The sequence below is a fragment of the Homo sapiens genome, chromosome 5, assembly GCF_000001405.40.
Source record: "Homo sapiens chromosome 5, GRCh38.p14 Primary Assembly".
In the NCBI taxonomy this organism is placed as follows: domain Eukaryota; kingdom Metazoa; phylum Chordata; class Mammalia; order Primates; family Hominidae; genus Homo; species Homo sapiens.
The window spans coordinates 171,995,899-172,011,292 of NC_000005.10; the positions used below are offsets into that span (position 1 = coordinate 171,995,899).

At 42.6% G+C, this 15,394-nt stretch overlaps 1 protein-coding gene across 11 annotated transcripts in view, besides 7 other annotated features; it reads right to left on the reverse strand.

The window, feature by feature from the left end:
* Positions 1-10,740, reverse strand: part of FBXW11 (F-box and WD repeat domain containing 11) — a 145,090-nt gene extending 134,350 nt beyond the window's left edge. For 6 of the 11 annotated variants that reach the window (NM_001378980.1, NM_033645.3, NM_033644.3 and 3 more), the window contains exon 1: positions 10,560-10,740. In NM_001378980.1, coding sequence (NP_001365909.1) covers positions 10,560-10,604 — 45 coding nt within the window. In that variant the 5' untranslated portion in view covers positions 10,605-10,740. Of the gene's footprint in view, positions 1-991; positions 1,154-7,282; positions 7,413-10,559 lie in introns of those variants that run through there. The other 5 variants (NM_001378977.1, NM_001378979.1, NM_001378976.1 and 2 more) reach the window with 3 other exon arrangements.
* Positions 9,905-10,024: an enhancer, noted in NCBI's record as "active region_23618". NCBI's record gives its function as "activates an Ori minimal core promoter by ATAC-STARR-seq in GM12878 lymphoblastoid cells {active_cell/tissue: GM12878}" and the evidence as "EXISTENCE:reporter gene assay evidence [ECO:0000049][PMID:35858748]".
* Positions 10,365-10,474: a silencer, noted in NCBI's record as "silent region_16614". NCBI's record gives its function as "represses an Ori minimal core promoter by ATAC-STARR-seq in GM12878 lymphoblastoid cells {active_cell/tissue: GM12878}" and the evidence as "EXISTENCE:reporter gene assay evidence [ECO:0000049][PMID:35858748]".
* Positions 10,485-10,764: a silencer, noted in NCBI's record as "silent region_16615". NCBI's record gives its function as "represses an Ori minimal core promoter by ATAC-STARR-seq in GM12878 lymphoblastoid cells {active_cell/tissue: GM12878}" and the evidence as "EXISTENCE:reporter gene assay evidence [ECO:0000049][PMID:35858748]".
* Positions 10,485-11,251: a biological region, named in NCBI's record as "H3K27ac hESC enhancer GRCh37_chr5:171433526-171434153".
* Positions 10,624-11,251: an enhancer, noted in NCBI's record as "H3K27ac hESC enhancer chr5:171433526-171434153 (GRCh37/hg19 assembly coordinates)". NCBI's record gives its function as "activates a minimal SCP1, AML or CMV promoter by ChIP-STARR-seq in primed H9 embryonic stem cells {active_cell/tissue: H9 hESC(primed)}" and the evidence as "EXISTENCE:reporter gene assay evidence [ECO:0000049][PMID:30033119]".
* Positions 10,795-11,064: an enhancer, noted in NCBI's record as "active region_23619". NCBI's record gives its function as "activates an Ori minimal core promoter by ATAC-STARR-seq in GM12878 lymphoblastoid cells {active_cell/tissue: GM12878}" and the evidence as "EXISTENCE:reporter gene assay evidence [ECO:0000049][PMID:35858748]".
* Positions 12,507-13,134: an enhancer, noted in NCBI's record as "OCT4-NANOG-H3K27ac-H3K4me1 hESC enhancer chr5:171435409-171436036 (GRCh37/hg19 assembly coordinates)". NCBI's record gives its function as "activates a minimal SCP1, AML or CMV promoter by ChIP-STARR-seq in naive and primed H9 embryonic stem cells {active_cell/tissue: H9 hESC(naive and primed)}" and the evidence as "EXISTENCE:reporter gene assay evidence [ECO:0000049][PMID:30033119]".

A 15,394-nucleotide genomic window follows, 5' to 3' on the forward strand; every position in this document is an offset into this window, starting at 1 on the left:
TCAGCAAGTGTAGTAAGACAGAAAGAGTCAGAGCTTTGAGGACACCTAAACCCAAGCTTAAAGCTTGGTTCTACCATTTACTAGCTGTATGACCTGAGTAACTGGCAGTTTATGCTTACGAGCTCCATTTCACTAGCTGTAAAATGCAGGTGAAGCATTGTGCCAATTAAGTAATATATGTAAAGTGCATACAAGGGTAACTGGCATGTAGCACTCGCTCTCAATAAGCAGTTGCTACAGTTAGTAAACCTCCCCAAGACGACCTGCCAAGAGACCTCAGAATAAAATATCACCACTTTACATGAAACCGCAAAAAATATTTTGACCAGGTATTAACTATTATATAAATCATGTGAGAATGCCTCAAAGTTACCATTTGTTTTCCATATTTTACAAGCTATTCCCTAAACAACATATGTCTCTGTTTACTGTATTTCCTATTAGACTATGAATAAAAACTATTTGGGCTTACAATAAAAATAACTGAGTTAGGCGTGGTGGCTCATGTCTGTAATCCCAACACTCTGGGAGGCCAAGGCAGGCAAATCATTCGAGCCCAGGAGTTCAAGACCAGTCTGGGCAACATGGTGAGACCCTGTCTCTACAAAAAAGAAATTAGCTGAGCATAGTGACATGTGCCTGTGGTCCCAGCTACCTGAGAGGCTAAGGCAGGAAGATCGTGTGAGGCCAAGAGGTCAAGGCTGCAGTAAGCCATGTTTGTGCCACTGCAGTCCAGCCTGGGCGACCTGATGTCTCAAAGATAATAATAACTGCACTTCTTACAGTAAAACAAAGTTTTTACCAGGAATTCAGACACATAGACCTTCACTGATCCACACTCAAACATGGCCAAACATGACACTACGCACAAACGTCTAATATTTCTCCCTTTCCCTATTAATGGACAAAATAAATAAGGGAAAATATTTTTCAAAATTTCTTTCAGCGAGTTGAGTTCCACAAAACAAAACAATACAGGGTAATTGCTTACCTGGAAAATATTTTGTACTTCAGATCCACCAATCCAGAATGAATGGGGGTTTTCCCTTTCAGACTAGTCTGAGAAAAGACAGCAGTCAAGCATCTTCCAAGATTCTTTCCGTTTACTGTATCCAGCTTTCTTCAACAAAATCCCAAACATGCACTTCGGTAACTGTTGAAAGACAGAAAGCAATCCATACACCCACCATGGCACCAGCGGCAAAGGACAGCCTCCAAGAAATGGAAGGAAGGGTCAATGGAATGGTGGATCTGAGGCACAGGAAAAAAGTTATAACCCCTGAGTCAGCTATTTGGCATAAAATGCCTGCAGCAGCATTCCTCACCTCTGTGTTGAAAGGATACAAAACTCGTAACAAATAATGGAACATCCCTAATGTTAATATTTACTCATGATAAACAGCATGCAACTTCCAAATGAGAGCAGCTAAAAAATACCTACCCTATCATCCATATAAATTGTCCTAGACCATTCAGCTACACTGAACTTCCTTATCCATTTTCTAAGACAGCTCCTCCACCATTAGAAAAATAGTTTGTCAGCCAAAAAGAATGATACGAGAGGGCTCAAATATCTACCATAAAGATATTTATTTACGTACCTAACAAAATGTTTTGGTTTGCTACATATAAGACATCATATCTACATATTACCCAAATCCTCTACCCTTAGCTAAAATATAGTGTGCTTCAAAACATATAACTGAAGACTGAACTTCTGACTCAGTAAAGGCCAGTCCCGTACAATGGCCAATGATCACGTAAACTGGGAAAAATCATAAAGAACGCTAATATACAATTTACTAGGTGACACCATTAAATATTAAGTCCTGTCCATATTATATCAATATTCTTTTTCTACCATATCAAATTAGACTGCAAATTCTAAACAAACTAAAAGGGAAAGAGAAAAAGCATTCAGCAGAACAACAAAGATAAAAACAAAAAGACTGAACTTACTCGAACATAAATTTGCTACTTCCACAATTGCTACATTATAGCCAAAATGCTCCTGCAGTAATTATAGTAATACCTACCTTATTGAAAAGCTACTAACTGGCCAAGCCCTTTACATTAATTACCCATATTTAATTCTCAAAAAAAGATGAGCAGAAAGAAGTAACCTATCCAAAGTCCCACATCTACTAGGTAGTAGAGCCCATGCCCTTTTCATGGAGCACTATGGACTCCACAGTTCAAGGGTCAGAAAGCCCATGATTTCTGAGAGAGGAGAAGAAATCAAGCTTTACTCTCAAAGGTCCTAAATTAATTAACATCAAAATGGAGAACAATGAAAATACAGAAGAGTAAATATTTCAGCCTACATGAATCAGTTGGGCCATCCTGAAAGGGTAATTCCCTAGATCTTGCCACTTAAAAAAGCATTTAATTAACAAAGAGCCATGCAATTCTACAGCCCATGATATTTTTTTCTTGTCTTTTTTTTTTTTTTTTTAAGTAGAGACAGGGTTTCACCATGTTGCCCAGGCTGGCCTCGAACTCCTAAGCTCAAGCGATCTGCCTACCTTGGCCTCCCAAAGGGCTGGGATTACAGGTGTGAGCCCCCATGCCCAGCCTAAAGCCCACAATATTAATGCTAAAACAAAACACATTATAGGCTGGGCTCGATGGCTCACACCTGTAGTCCCAACATTTTGGGAGGCCGAGGCGGGCAGATCACTTGAGGTCAGGAGTGTGAGGCCAGCCTGACCAACATGGTGAAACCCCATCTCTACTAAAAGTACAAAAATTAACCGGGCCTGGTGGCACATGCCTACAATCCCAGCTACTCGGGAGGCTGAGGAAGGAGAATCACTTGAACCCGGGAGACAGAGGCTGCAGTGAGCTGAGATCGTGCCACTGTACTCCAGCCTGGTTAACAGAGCAAGACTCCGTCTCAAAAAAAAAAAAAAAAAAAAGACTGTGGCAAGACATACTATAATGGTACTCAAGTAGTCTTTGTGTTTAGCAGCAAAGATTGTAACTGTGACAAAGAATCTCAAATCCAGCTGAACCCAAGTAATTTTTAAATTCTAAGATTTGTTGACAGTCCACAGGCAATGACTCTTAAAGATGTTCTGATTGTTCATATTGTAGGTAAGGCAATTAAAGTGACTGAAATACCGGTCTATGATTAACCTCGCCATAACAATCAGATGAAAATACCTTAAGACTCACAACTTTAAGGAGATCACAAAAGTAAAATCCCAAGCAAATAATGAGTTCTCAAGTTTTTCCCATTAAGTGGTATTACTCCTAAGCCTAAGAATAAACTGGAAACCCAATTTTGACAGAAGTAGCTAGGGAACTATGGCTAGTAGCGAACTGCTAAAACAGTATACTATGCTTTTCAAGGTACGACTATCCAAAATGCAAAACAAGTTATAGCAAAACACAACCACAGCAATTTGACTAACAGACTCATTTCTGGACCTCTTGAATCCTCAGGCTTTTCCCCTGTACTAGTGAGTTAATTTTTCTCCCTTCCCTTCAAAAAAAAAAAATATATATATATATACACACACATATATATTTCTTCAATCCCTAATTGTATATATATATTTCTTCAATCCCTAATTGCTGGCAGGCCTTATGCTAGTAATACAAAGATTAACAGATGCCAGGTGAGTAGTGTCAGGACTGAGTTCTTCCTGCCCCTCTGCCCCCTTTCTCTTTGAATCTATCATGTAGTCATTTCAGAGGGCCAAAATATATTTTATTGTTAGTTACCAAAACTGGTTCAATGTTCTCCAGTTAACTCCTAAAAAAATAAACATTAAAAATTACTCAAGTTCCTTTTTCACAATAGTAGAACCTCAGTCTTTCTTTTTCTTCTGTGGATCAGAGGCTTTTTACTATACAATGGTTTCCTACATTCAATATGCTTATATTTACACACCTCTCTATCACAAGCCAAAGAGCCAAAGCTTTTTTTTTTATTTTTCCTATTAATGTCCCAGTGTTTATACTTCACAGCTTTCCATTTTGTGAAGCTCTTCATTGTTAACTCAACCTGAGAGGGAATTTCCTAAAAACGCTTCCCGCTGACATCACAGAACTCTTCCATCTTTTAGTTTCATTAAAACACTAAGAACCAGGTAAGAGATACCCTACTGGATTGTCAGGTCTTCCTGGTCTGTCTCTCATTTGCCTACAAAGACAAACTTCCTCTTAAGCAATTGCGATCAGCAGAAACTAACCAAGGGTAACGAGCACATTCTTAACCAACACGTTTCTTCCCCCATTGTCATCTAATTCAATGAACAATACAACTCAGAAGAAAATCTTGTATGAATTCTCACTGCTTATTCTGTTAAGGTTAAAACCATCAGCTTTGATGATGGTAAGAATAAGAATTCAAAAACCACAATTTGGTCAGTCTAAACTAAACCGATCAAACATAAATCCCAATGCTCAATGTCAATATAAACTAATCACCAGTCTCTTTCTGTCAGGATACCAGGCATAAAAATAGGACTGGGTGGGTTCTCTCTGTAGTTACAGCATAGATCTAATTACGCCAAATTGGTAGTCATTGAAATAGTACCTCCCAGATTTTCCAAGACAGTATTGACTCTGCATGATTTCATTGTTTTTCCCAAAGATGGCTCATTAAATGTATGGCTAAAAGCAACTAAATGTTAGTCTTCTGTAAAGCCTCACAAATAAATACATGCGCAACTCAGGAGAAAGACCTTTTCCACACCATCGGTCTTGACTTCGCTTTAGGGTCCCTGTACTTGTGGGGAAAGTTAGTATGGTCAGCATTTGAAGAAAAGCAAGCCTCTGCAAAGTCCTTTCACACACATCTCTCATATAATCCTCCCAACAACTCAGACCAATACCTAAGTTTTCTTATTTATTTTTACATATAATCAAATCATACTGCAGAAAGGTTACCTTTCTTTATGTCACACAGCTAGCAAGCGACAGAGCTTGGATACAAACTCAGGTGTTTCACTTCAAAGCCCATGCCCTTTCTGCTAAACCATGCTTTTCTAAGGTCATGGAGCCCTTGGAGCTTATCAACTATTTGGCAAACCTGCACCAACTGATGCAAAAAGTATTCAGTTTCCTCAGTTCTTTGCTAACAACCAGTCTCTGAGTTCTATGTAAATCAATCTGTATGTGTGGAAAGTCTGTAAATAATGGTTAATATGTCTATGGATGTCCTATAAACAACACACCACCCACCTCTTCCCCCTCCCCATCTTTCTTCTCTATTCATCTCTACCTTTGTCTTAAGATATTCAAAAGGAAATCTTAAAAGGTTTCACTGCATGAAAGAAAGAAAATCTAACATTAATTTAAATCCATATTGAGCACCCATGTGCTGAGGAGTAACAGGGCAATCAAACACAGCCTCTAGAAGAAGAGTTTAGGCACAACCACAAGTTTTTATAATATAATAGGATGATATGATAAGTCCCATAAAAATTTGGAACTGATTATTGTGAGAATTAGTAATGTGGGTGAAAATGTTTAGAAAAGAGGATAGTTAAGACACAGGCAAAAGGCAATAATGTCTGAAAATGATCACCAGGAAAATTCAACCCAACATTTCCTGAAAGCCTACCACAAAGAAGACACCGTGTGTATGAAGGAACTGTGTGTCACTGGAAGATAATTAAGGTCCCAGCCCTTCCCATGAGGAGTTTATCATTCAACAGAGGACACAAACAGGTAACTATATTACAAGCCTGAAATATGTTAAGTGCTACAGGATAAATACAAAGTGCCAGAATTCATTCATTTCATTTGAGTGTCATATAGGCAGTGCTATACAGACACAAAAACCAGACAGTCTCTGCTACCATAATATAAACTGACATCAAAAGAGGTGGCACCTATTGTGTTTTATGGGTGGATAGGACTTCATTAGCATAAATGAAAGAGAAGATTGCTGAGATATAACCTAAGCCAATTTGGCCAGAGAACCACCTATTAGATCCTTTTGATAAATATCAGTAGCCTTCAATAAATGGGCTTAGGTCCATTCCTATCAGTGCTGACAAAGGAAACGTGTGAGCAGAATCTGGAGGACCATGGTCCTCCATGTGCTAGAATATACAGTAAGCAAGGAAAGTAGGCAGAAAAGCCATAAGGGAGAATGGAATACAAAGGAAGACTGGAATTGGAATCACTAGGACTTAAAATGCTTTGTTTTCTATGAAGAACAAATATCACAAGGTAGAACCCAGGATCCCACAGATCTTACAGGGCAGATAATTTTGTTTCTAGAATTCACAGGCTCAAACAACACTAGTAAGAGGCATATATGTGCTGTTGTGAATCTATGTAATGGCTGAGTGATTCTCCTGGGCTAGCTCCCTATTTGCAGGAGACAGACTATAGCAGTCAAGAGCCCAGAATGCCAAGACTTGTGTGCAGGAACATGTTTATCCATGTCAAATCTGAAAGGATATCTAACCTACTGCAAAATCAGGGGCAAAAATTGATATATTTGAGCCAATGCCTCTTTAGGCAGGTCAGTGAGGTCCATATATTTTATATAAATGTGTGTGTGTGTGTGTGTGTGTGTGTGTGTGGTTTATTCATTTGGACCCTATTGAAACCTGTGTCCACTGAGTCTGCATTCAGTAAGTTAGCACCCCTAGTGGTGTGCTACATGAGGAGAAAGGTGGTGACAAAGTAATATCCAATTTCTTGATGAAGTCACTAAACAACCCCACTCACCCCGAGAAAGTCAATGACAGGAAGAAAAAAAAAAGATCCAAAAAGAAAAAAAGACAACATTTCCAGTAACTTCATTTATTCGTTTCTTTCTTTTTTCTTTTCTTTTTTTTTTTTTTTTTTTTTGAGAGTGTCTTGCTCTGTTACCCAGGCTGGAGTGCAGTGGCACAATCACAGGTCACTGCAACCTCAAACTCCTGGGCTCAAGCAATCCTCCCCACCTCAGGCTCCTGAGTAGCAGGGACTATAGGAGTGAACCACTATGCCTGGCTAATTTTTTTATTTTTTGTAGAGACAGGGTTTTGTTATGTTGCCTAGGCTGGTCTCTAACTCCTGGGCTCAAGCAATCCTCCCACCTCCTAAAGTGCTGGGATTACAGGCTAGAGCCACCGCACCTGCCCACACCTTCTTAATAAGGATCAGTGTATTTTAACCTACATTACTTCATTGAACAAGTAATACAGCCACTTAAGAGATAAGACAGAAGGGAAATGACTCACTTAAGGTCACTTAGCAAAAAGGGAAGTCATTTAACAATTAATTATAAACCATCCATTAATTGTGTAAAGGGAAGAGGGGATTCACTCACACCCGTGGAGGAGGCAGGATCGCCTTTCCTAAAGTGATAGCATCAATTTCTGCTGGCTTCTTACAGGGTAATCTAATCATCTTTCTCTTCCAATCAGAAGCTCTTGTGAGTGCTTTCTAGTGATGAGTGCCTGAAAATCAAGTCATATTCCTAACTCAAAGGTTAATAAATACCACGTGATACATATTGTACAGTTCTCATTCTTCCCAATGAAGTCCATTGAACATAGCCGGATAAACTTTACATATTTCCAAAATGAATTACTAGTTTTCTGCCTCATTCATAAGGCGAATTTTACCAAACTCAGAAGTTTGGAAAAATAGGCCCACTAACAGGTATAGCCCTGGGCCAATATAAGGCCCTAAAAGTCATCTGGCGGTTAAATTATTTACCATTAGTAACTGTAAATTCAGGGTCTAAATTAAGAGCTTATAGACTTTACTAATATTCAAAGCTGAATCCTATAGAGTGGGTCAGGAGGAGAAGCAACCTGGGTGGACCCAGGCCTCAGGCAGCGGTAGGAGTCAAAGTGGGGGTTATATTTTAGAAATTTAACTATTCTGCTATCACCAGCTTTATTTCCTAATATACTTATCAAAAATGCAAGGAAAAACAGAAGAATCAATATTAAGGAAAGTACAGGGATGAAGATTAGAAAATGGAGATAACCAAGAAGTCTGTTTCCTCTTTTTAATACAGCACACTTTGGAACAGCAAATGAAAGTTATCTTGTTAAGCATTAAGTGCCAAACTGGTACAAGCAGCACAATCACAAATATTTGAGTACTGAAGCTGACTCATAAAAATCTAAAAATATTTCATGCTTTAGGCTTTCAAAACACCATCAGTTTAACCCCTTTTCCTCCATCAATCGTATTATCTTGAAACCAATGTAAAAAATATTTTTAACCCAGTTCTGGAAACTGTAATTGAAATGCAGTGAAAACAGAAAGCCACATGCAATTAGATTCTAAGGCATTATTTCCTACATTTGATCCTGGATTTACTCAATCAGTTGTTAAGCACCTGTGCTACTTTACTAAAATAAATACACATATTTAATTTATGATAAGGGTTGTCTAAGAGTCTTAACTGATATCCCTTTCAGGAAATATCAAAATCCTTAAATAAAAGGCCATTTTAAAATTAATCGTAATATAACTAAACTCTGTTAAATTTTCAAAGAATTCCAGTTTAAATCCCAGTTTATAATGTCCTTAACAGGCTGAAATCTCTTTTCTGATCAAAACCAAGTGCTATCATGTAAAATCAAAACTTTTTAAGTTATAAGCATAGGAAGCCAGTGAATTTAGGCCAAAGGTTTTTATTTTTTTATTTTGTAACCATACACTGACTTGGGTTACAACGTATTTCTTATAATTCTTTTGAAAATAAATACATTTTCGTTATTTTTTAAAGGAATAGAAATGGAAGGAGCTGGGAACAGCCAATTTCAAAGAGGCACCAAGTTACAATTTTTCGATATGAAGTACTTCTGTTGTAAGTACATGCACTGTGTGTACATTCTTAAGAATATGTAATATACTTAGTCGATTTAAGATAGTTACCAAAATAACCCACTACAAAAGTTACAGAATACCAAACACTTGACTACAAGTATGATAAATTATGCTGAAAAGGAAAAATCACTCAGTATGTGACATCCCTTTGAAAACAACCCCACGTGCACACACACACACACACACACACACGCATGCAAAAATCAAAAACTATCAGTTTCTTTTTTTCCCTCCTAGTTTTCAAGAATGCTAGAGAAGTCCAGTTCTGTGAATTATGCAAAGGACAGCAAACATTAAGCTGCCTCCATATTTATGCTACTGTACTTCCATTTTTAAAACAAGCATCTCAACTCCCCAGACACCATCATCCACAGAAACCATGCAGCTATCCAACAGACTTTCAGTGTCACCATTTATTATTTATAGCGTTAAATGGGGGAAGTGGCTCTGATGTCACCAACCCTACCCAGTGGAATCACTGACTCAATAAACATTTTCACACTGAAGAAAATCTGGCTAGGAAAACATTTTGCTGGGTTAAGTAGATTCTTCCACCTCTCCTCTCAACCCTGGGGAAGAAGTTGTTACCGTGTTAGGAAAGATACAAAGAAACTGTCAAGGCTTCCATAGGAAGAAATCCTGGACATGTCCATTTGCTGATGCAGACTTCCTCTTCCCAGCTCTCCAGAGCCCAATTTGATTTCCCTCATGTTCACGTTGGCAGGTAATATCTGCCATATTTTATTTCTTCCACCAAATCATCCATCAATTAGCAAATTCTTCACTTCTAGCCACTCTCTCACTGTCCTGTTCCTAAAAACCCCTTCTGGTTTCAAATCCTAAAGCTTCGGAGGAGGGTGGAGGGTGTCCACGGACCGGGAGTCTGGCCTGGCTGCCAGTGGTTTCTAACAGAAGAGTGGTCGCTTCCCCCGGGGGCCAAGGATTCCCCTCTTTTTTTTTTCTTTCTGAGAAGAAAGACCTCGCGGCAGTGATGAGGATGGCTCCCTCCCCAGTCATCTCCAATTTCCCAAAGCAGCTCTGGAAAACGTGAAGTTGCGCCTTCTCTTTCCTGGAGGATGGAATCCAGAGTACCTGGGCCCTTGCTATGCAAACATCCCTCTCCGCCGGGTAGGAAACCCTTTGTCCGAGAAGCCGGACACCACAAGGGCCCGGGAAAGAGGCCTCCTTATCCGCCACAGCCTCAAACCCGAAAGCTCCCTGCCCCCCCAGCTCTGTAGGGCCTATCCTGGCATCCACACAGACCTAGGCTGGGGAGTGGGTGCTGAGACCTCTCCTAGGACGCGGAGGCCCAGGCGGCCCCAACCCATCTCCGTACTCCTTCCCACCATCTCACTCGGCCTGAGTGGGGCTTGCAAGCGCGGTGCGGGCCTGGGCCGAAACAGAGGAAAGAAAAAAAAATCCCTTTCTAAAAGAAGGAGAATGGGGTGCTAGAGCGAGTGCGACCTAAGTCTACAGCATAAACGAGCGAGGGTCGTCCGAGAGCTGGGACCGGAGACGGGACCAGGGGGAGGGGGAGAAGCGAGGGGCATGGAGGGGGCCGGGCCAGGACCGGCCGGAGATGTCGAGGGATCAGAGGAGCCCGCGCCAGGTCCGAGGCCAGGGAAGGCTGGGGGCCCGGGTCTGGGTCGAGGCGTCTGGGAAGGGCCAGAGCCGGCCTCGCACCGGACGTTGAGGTGGGCAGGCCCGCCCGGGGCCGGACGGACGGAAGCACAGACGGTCCAGCGGGCCGCACTCACCATGAGCTCGATGGTCTTGTCCTCAATCACCGAGTCGGGCTCCATGGCGGCCCCGGCGGCCCCGCCTCGCTCTCCCCGCGCAGCAGCGAACGGCCCGGGCGGAGGAGGCGACGGCGGAGGCGGCAGAGGCGGAGGCGGCTATCGCACCCACTCTAGCTGCCAGCCCGCCCGGGCCGCCGGCAGCTCCGCCCTCCCCCTCGGCGAACGCAGTACGCAGATCGGGGACTACACCTCCCAGCAGGCGCCGCGGCCCGCAGAGCGTTGTGGGACCGAGCCTCTGACACCAGGTTGCTGGCTCTTGGCAGCCCGAAGCTGAACTCCGAGCTGAGAGTAGCACTGGACGGTGGGCGTAGGACGTGCAGACCTGAAGAGTTAAGAGCTTGCTCATGGCAGGGCCTCGAGAGCGCCACGACTACGTGTCCCAGAAAGCCGTGCGCCCGGGTTGTCCTTCCGGCTAGCTTCTCTTGACTTCCTGGCAGCCCAAGGCTGCCCAGACCGGGACGGAAACTCCGAGGCAACTCCTCACTTGTCGGAGGTCCTGCGTATGCGACCCATTTCCGCACATGCGCGGTCCATGCCGCAGTGCTCCCTAGACGCCTAGGTAGCTGCGCGGCCCGTCCGGCAGTGTCTGATGGTAGGGGCAGATGGTGGAGACAGGTGGGTTCTAGGTGCGTTAGGAAGGTGTATAGACCTGGGGCTCAGGTGTGGGAAGGGGCCAGCGAGTGAGAGAAGCTCGGCCTGGGGAAGAGGCTCTGAGAGGATGGGCATCCCAGGAGTGAGAGTTTCGAGATTTCTTCGGGAAAGACGGGGTTTTGGGAAATGTGCTGTGGTGCTGTCTGTATGTCACACGATCTGCGAGGAGCTGCGAGATTAAAGGGGACGTGCGTATATCGAGCCCCTCATTCATTCGTTCAGAAAATGGTTATTTTTTAAGCATCCAGCTTCCGCTGCGTACCGTTCTAGGCGCTGAGAATCAGCTCTGAACATGACAGACAAGGCTCCTGTTCTCATGGAGCTTAATTCTGGTGGAGGGACGACAGACACTAACCAAAAGAGTGGCTAAGAAGGAACACACAAGCGGAGACTCCTTCTAGTGAACTCAGCCTCCAACTCTGTGTAACTTAGGTCTGTCCGTGCCCTCTAACCAAATCCCACCAGGAAGACACGGATCGTTGAACAAGCTGGGTTTATTACTAGTTGCAGTGACTGAGAACACACATTGAGGAACGATAGGGCCTCTCGGTAAGAGTTGTTAGTGATTTGGGAGAGGGTTTAAGGAAGTGAGAGCTTCACTGGATTAGATACTGTCAGGAAGAGAGGGTCGTTCCATGATTGAGCATCTCAGTTCATCTTATCTAGAGGAAGGGAATTCTAGATTGAGGCTAAAGCTGTGCAGATAAAGAAACAGCAGCCTGGCCGGGCGCAGTGGCTCACGCCTGTAATCCCAGCACTTTGGTAAACCGAGGCAGGCGAATTGCTTGAGCGCAGGAGTTCCAGACCAGCCTGGGCAACATGGCGAAACTCTTCTCTACAAAAAATACAAAAATGAACCGGGCCTGGTGGTGCGCGCCTGTCATCTCAGTTACTTGGGAGGCAGAGGTGGGACGATCGCTTGAGCCCAGGAAGTGGAGGTTTCAGTGAATGGAGATCGCACCACTCCACTGTACCCTGAGTGATAGAGCCAGACCTTGTCTCAAAAACGAAAAAAAAAAAAAAAAGTGCAGCAGCAGCTCCCTCATATTAGCCAAGTGGGGATGTTGAGTCATTTTTTGTGGTTTGGACAATCATCAGGTTTTATCTTTTTATCGTGTTTAGACCTGATTATAGAGTGGTCTTGTATTTGTCTGGATCTATCATGGTCACAGAATGACCTCGTCTGATGTTGATGTTCTTTGGAATTGTTTTTGTTCTACAGGAAAACACAAAGCCTAGCTATAAGGGCCAGGCTGTGGTCTAGTAACATCATGGCATGGCTGATTGTACCAGGCCAGCTTCCAGATATCAGAGGCTGCTTTTCACTTTCTCAAAGTGTTTTTGCATTCTCTGCACCTATAAAGTCAAAGAGGCTGGATGACCTAGAAATCTTTCCATTACCAAGGACCAAGTTACAGTAATTTGCATGCATTCAGGACACAGTATAAGTTCCCTGCAGGTAGACTTTGAAGTTTCATAGTCCTTACCTGGTGCTTTTCACCAAGGGAATTGAAAGAAAAGCAATAGGAAGAGCACAGAATTGGAAAGTTCTTACCACTGTCATGCTATCTGAATTTCACCAGGTCCGTTCCACTATGGCCCTTAGGACATTCATTAGTAAAACAAAGGGATTAGATATGACCTCTATTTCAGTTACCTGTTGCAACACAACAAACCTCCGAAGACTTAGTAGCTTAGAATAACAATGGTTTATTATGATTTTACAATTGTGTGGGCTGACCCGGGCTCAGCCGGGGCCCACATGCAATCAGCTGGGAACTCATTCAAAATGACTTTTCATCTTCTAGGGCCTCTCCTCCCTGTGGCTTTTTATCATTCAAACGTCTGCATAGTGACTTGAGAAAGGACAAGCCCCAGTGAACAAATGCTTATCAAACCTCTGGTATGCACCACACTTGGTAATGTCCCGTTGGCCAAAACTAGTAGTATGGCCACACCCATAGTCAGTGTGGGAAAGGATTGTACAGGGGCATAAAAACAGGCATGGGGTAGGAGTCACAAGCTGGATGTGACCCTCCCCCCGCCGACCCGGCACATACATATGTTTGTCCTATACCGTCTTTTTTACTGTTTTTAAAATTTGATGTTCAGGTTTTCAAAATCTGAATTTCCAGCTTTTCTTGAAAAATTAGAATATCTGACAATTAGATCTACATGGCAACAATATGCAGGGGTTAAATAGCAACTACCTTTATTTAAGCATATATTCTATGGTTTTCCACAGTTGCCATCACTCCTTTTTGCCTTGTATCTGCATGCTTCACTCATTTAAGTTGCATCCCTAACCTGTATAGATATTTGAGTTTGCATCCCCTGGCATTGGAACTGTAGTGGAGATAAATCAAGGTTTCTGTCCTTTTATTAAAATCGTATACCTGGGAGCATAGGGAGGGGCTACCATCTCTGTGGCTGCACCATGATCTACAAAAAAAAAAAAAGAAAATTGTATGCTGCCTTAAAAGGAAAAAAGTACTAATATTATTAGGTCAAATTCCAGGAGCTCAGTGGGGTTAAAAGCTCATACATAGGAATTAGCCAAGTATGATGGCTCACGCTTGTGGCTGCAACTACTCAGGAGGCTGAGGTGGGAGGATCACTTGAGCCTGAGAGGTCAAGGGTGCAGTGAGCCATGATTGCACCACTGTATTCCAGCCTGGGTGACAGAATGACCAGCTTGGGTACCAGACCAGCTTGGGTGACAGAACAAGACCCTGTCTCAAAACAACAACAATAAATAAATAAATAAACACTATATATATGATAAAAGAAGTCTTATCCAAGCTACGTAAGAGGCAAGCTGAGCCAAGGCTTTATCACCTTGCTCTCACCTCTTCTCAAACAAGAACTCAGGTGCTCTTATTGCTTCAGGCTTGATGGCAGCTGTTGATTAGATTTGGTCATAGACAAAGGCAGAACACCCTGAGGCATATTTTCCCACCGTGTTTCAGATAGCTCTTCACTGAGGTTTGCAAGACATGATCATAACAAAGTGGTACAGGTCGTGATTCCCCTGAGGTCCAGTTCAGAACCCAGAATTGCTTAGATTGTACAAAGGCACAATGGTGCATTACATAAACTGTACAATGTAACACTCCTTCTGGGGTCTCAGGACAGCACTCCGTAATCAAATACCTTCTTCTGCAGCAGAACATGTATGTGCCTGCCATCAATTTATAACCTCATAGCTCCAAATCTAACCTTCTTTTCTATGCTTTGAAATACTGGAGCAGGATCCTGTAAATACTTCTCTGCCAGCTGGCACAGTGTTTAACTTTGTCAGTAGAGAGCACTAGAGGAACACAGCAGAATGAAGGGGCTTCTCATCCTGGTTCCAGTGTACTTTCTTTTCCTTCTTGCTTTGTGGCACATGGCAGCAAATGGCTTATAGAACCATCCCTTCCTCCCCACACACAAAGGGGGCTGGGACATTCAGAGGGTGGTGGCTTCCCGGTGAGTTTAGTGGCACCTCAGTAGGCAATTTCCTGTAACTATATATATATATATATATATATATATATATATATATATATATATATACACACATACATATATATAATATATACATATATATATGTATGTGTATATATATTTATATTTTTATATATTTATATATTTATATTTATATATTTATATATATTTATATTTATATATTTTTATATATTTATATTTTATATATTATATTTATATTTATATATGGAGTCTCGCCCTGTCACCCAGGCGGGAGTGCAGTGGCCGTGACCTGAGCTCACTGCAACCTCCGCCTCCCGGGTTCAAGCAATTCTCCTGCCTCAGCCTCCTGAGTAGCTGGGATTACAGGCGTGCTCCATCAAGTCTGGATAATTTTTTGTATCTTTAGTAGAGACAAGGTTTCACCATGTTGGCCAGGCTGGTCTTGAACTCCTGACCTCGTGACCTACCTGCCTCGGCCTCCCAAAGTGCTGGGAATACAGGCCTGAGCCACCGTGCCCAGGCTTTTTTTTGTTTCTTTTTCTGAGACAGAGTCTAACTCTGTTGCTCAGGCTGGAGTGCAGTGGCGCAATCTTGGCTTACTGCAACCTCCGTCTCCCAGGTTCAAGAGATTCTCCTGCCTCAGCTGCCCATAAGTAGCTGGGATTACAGGT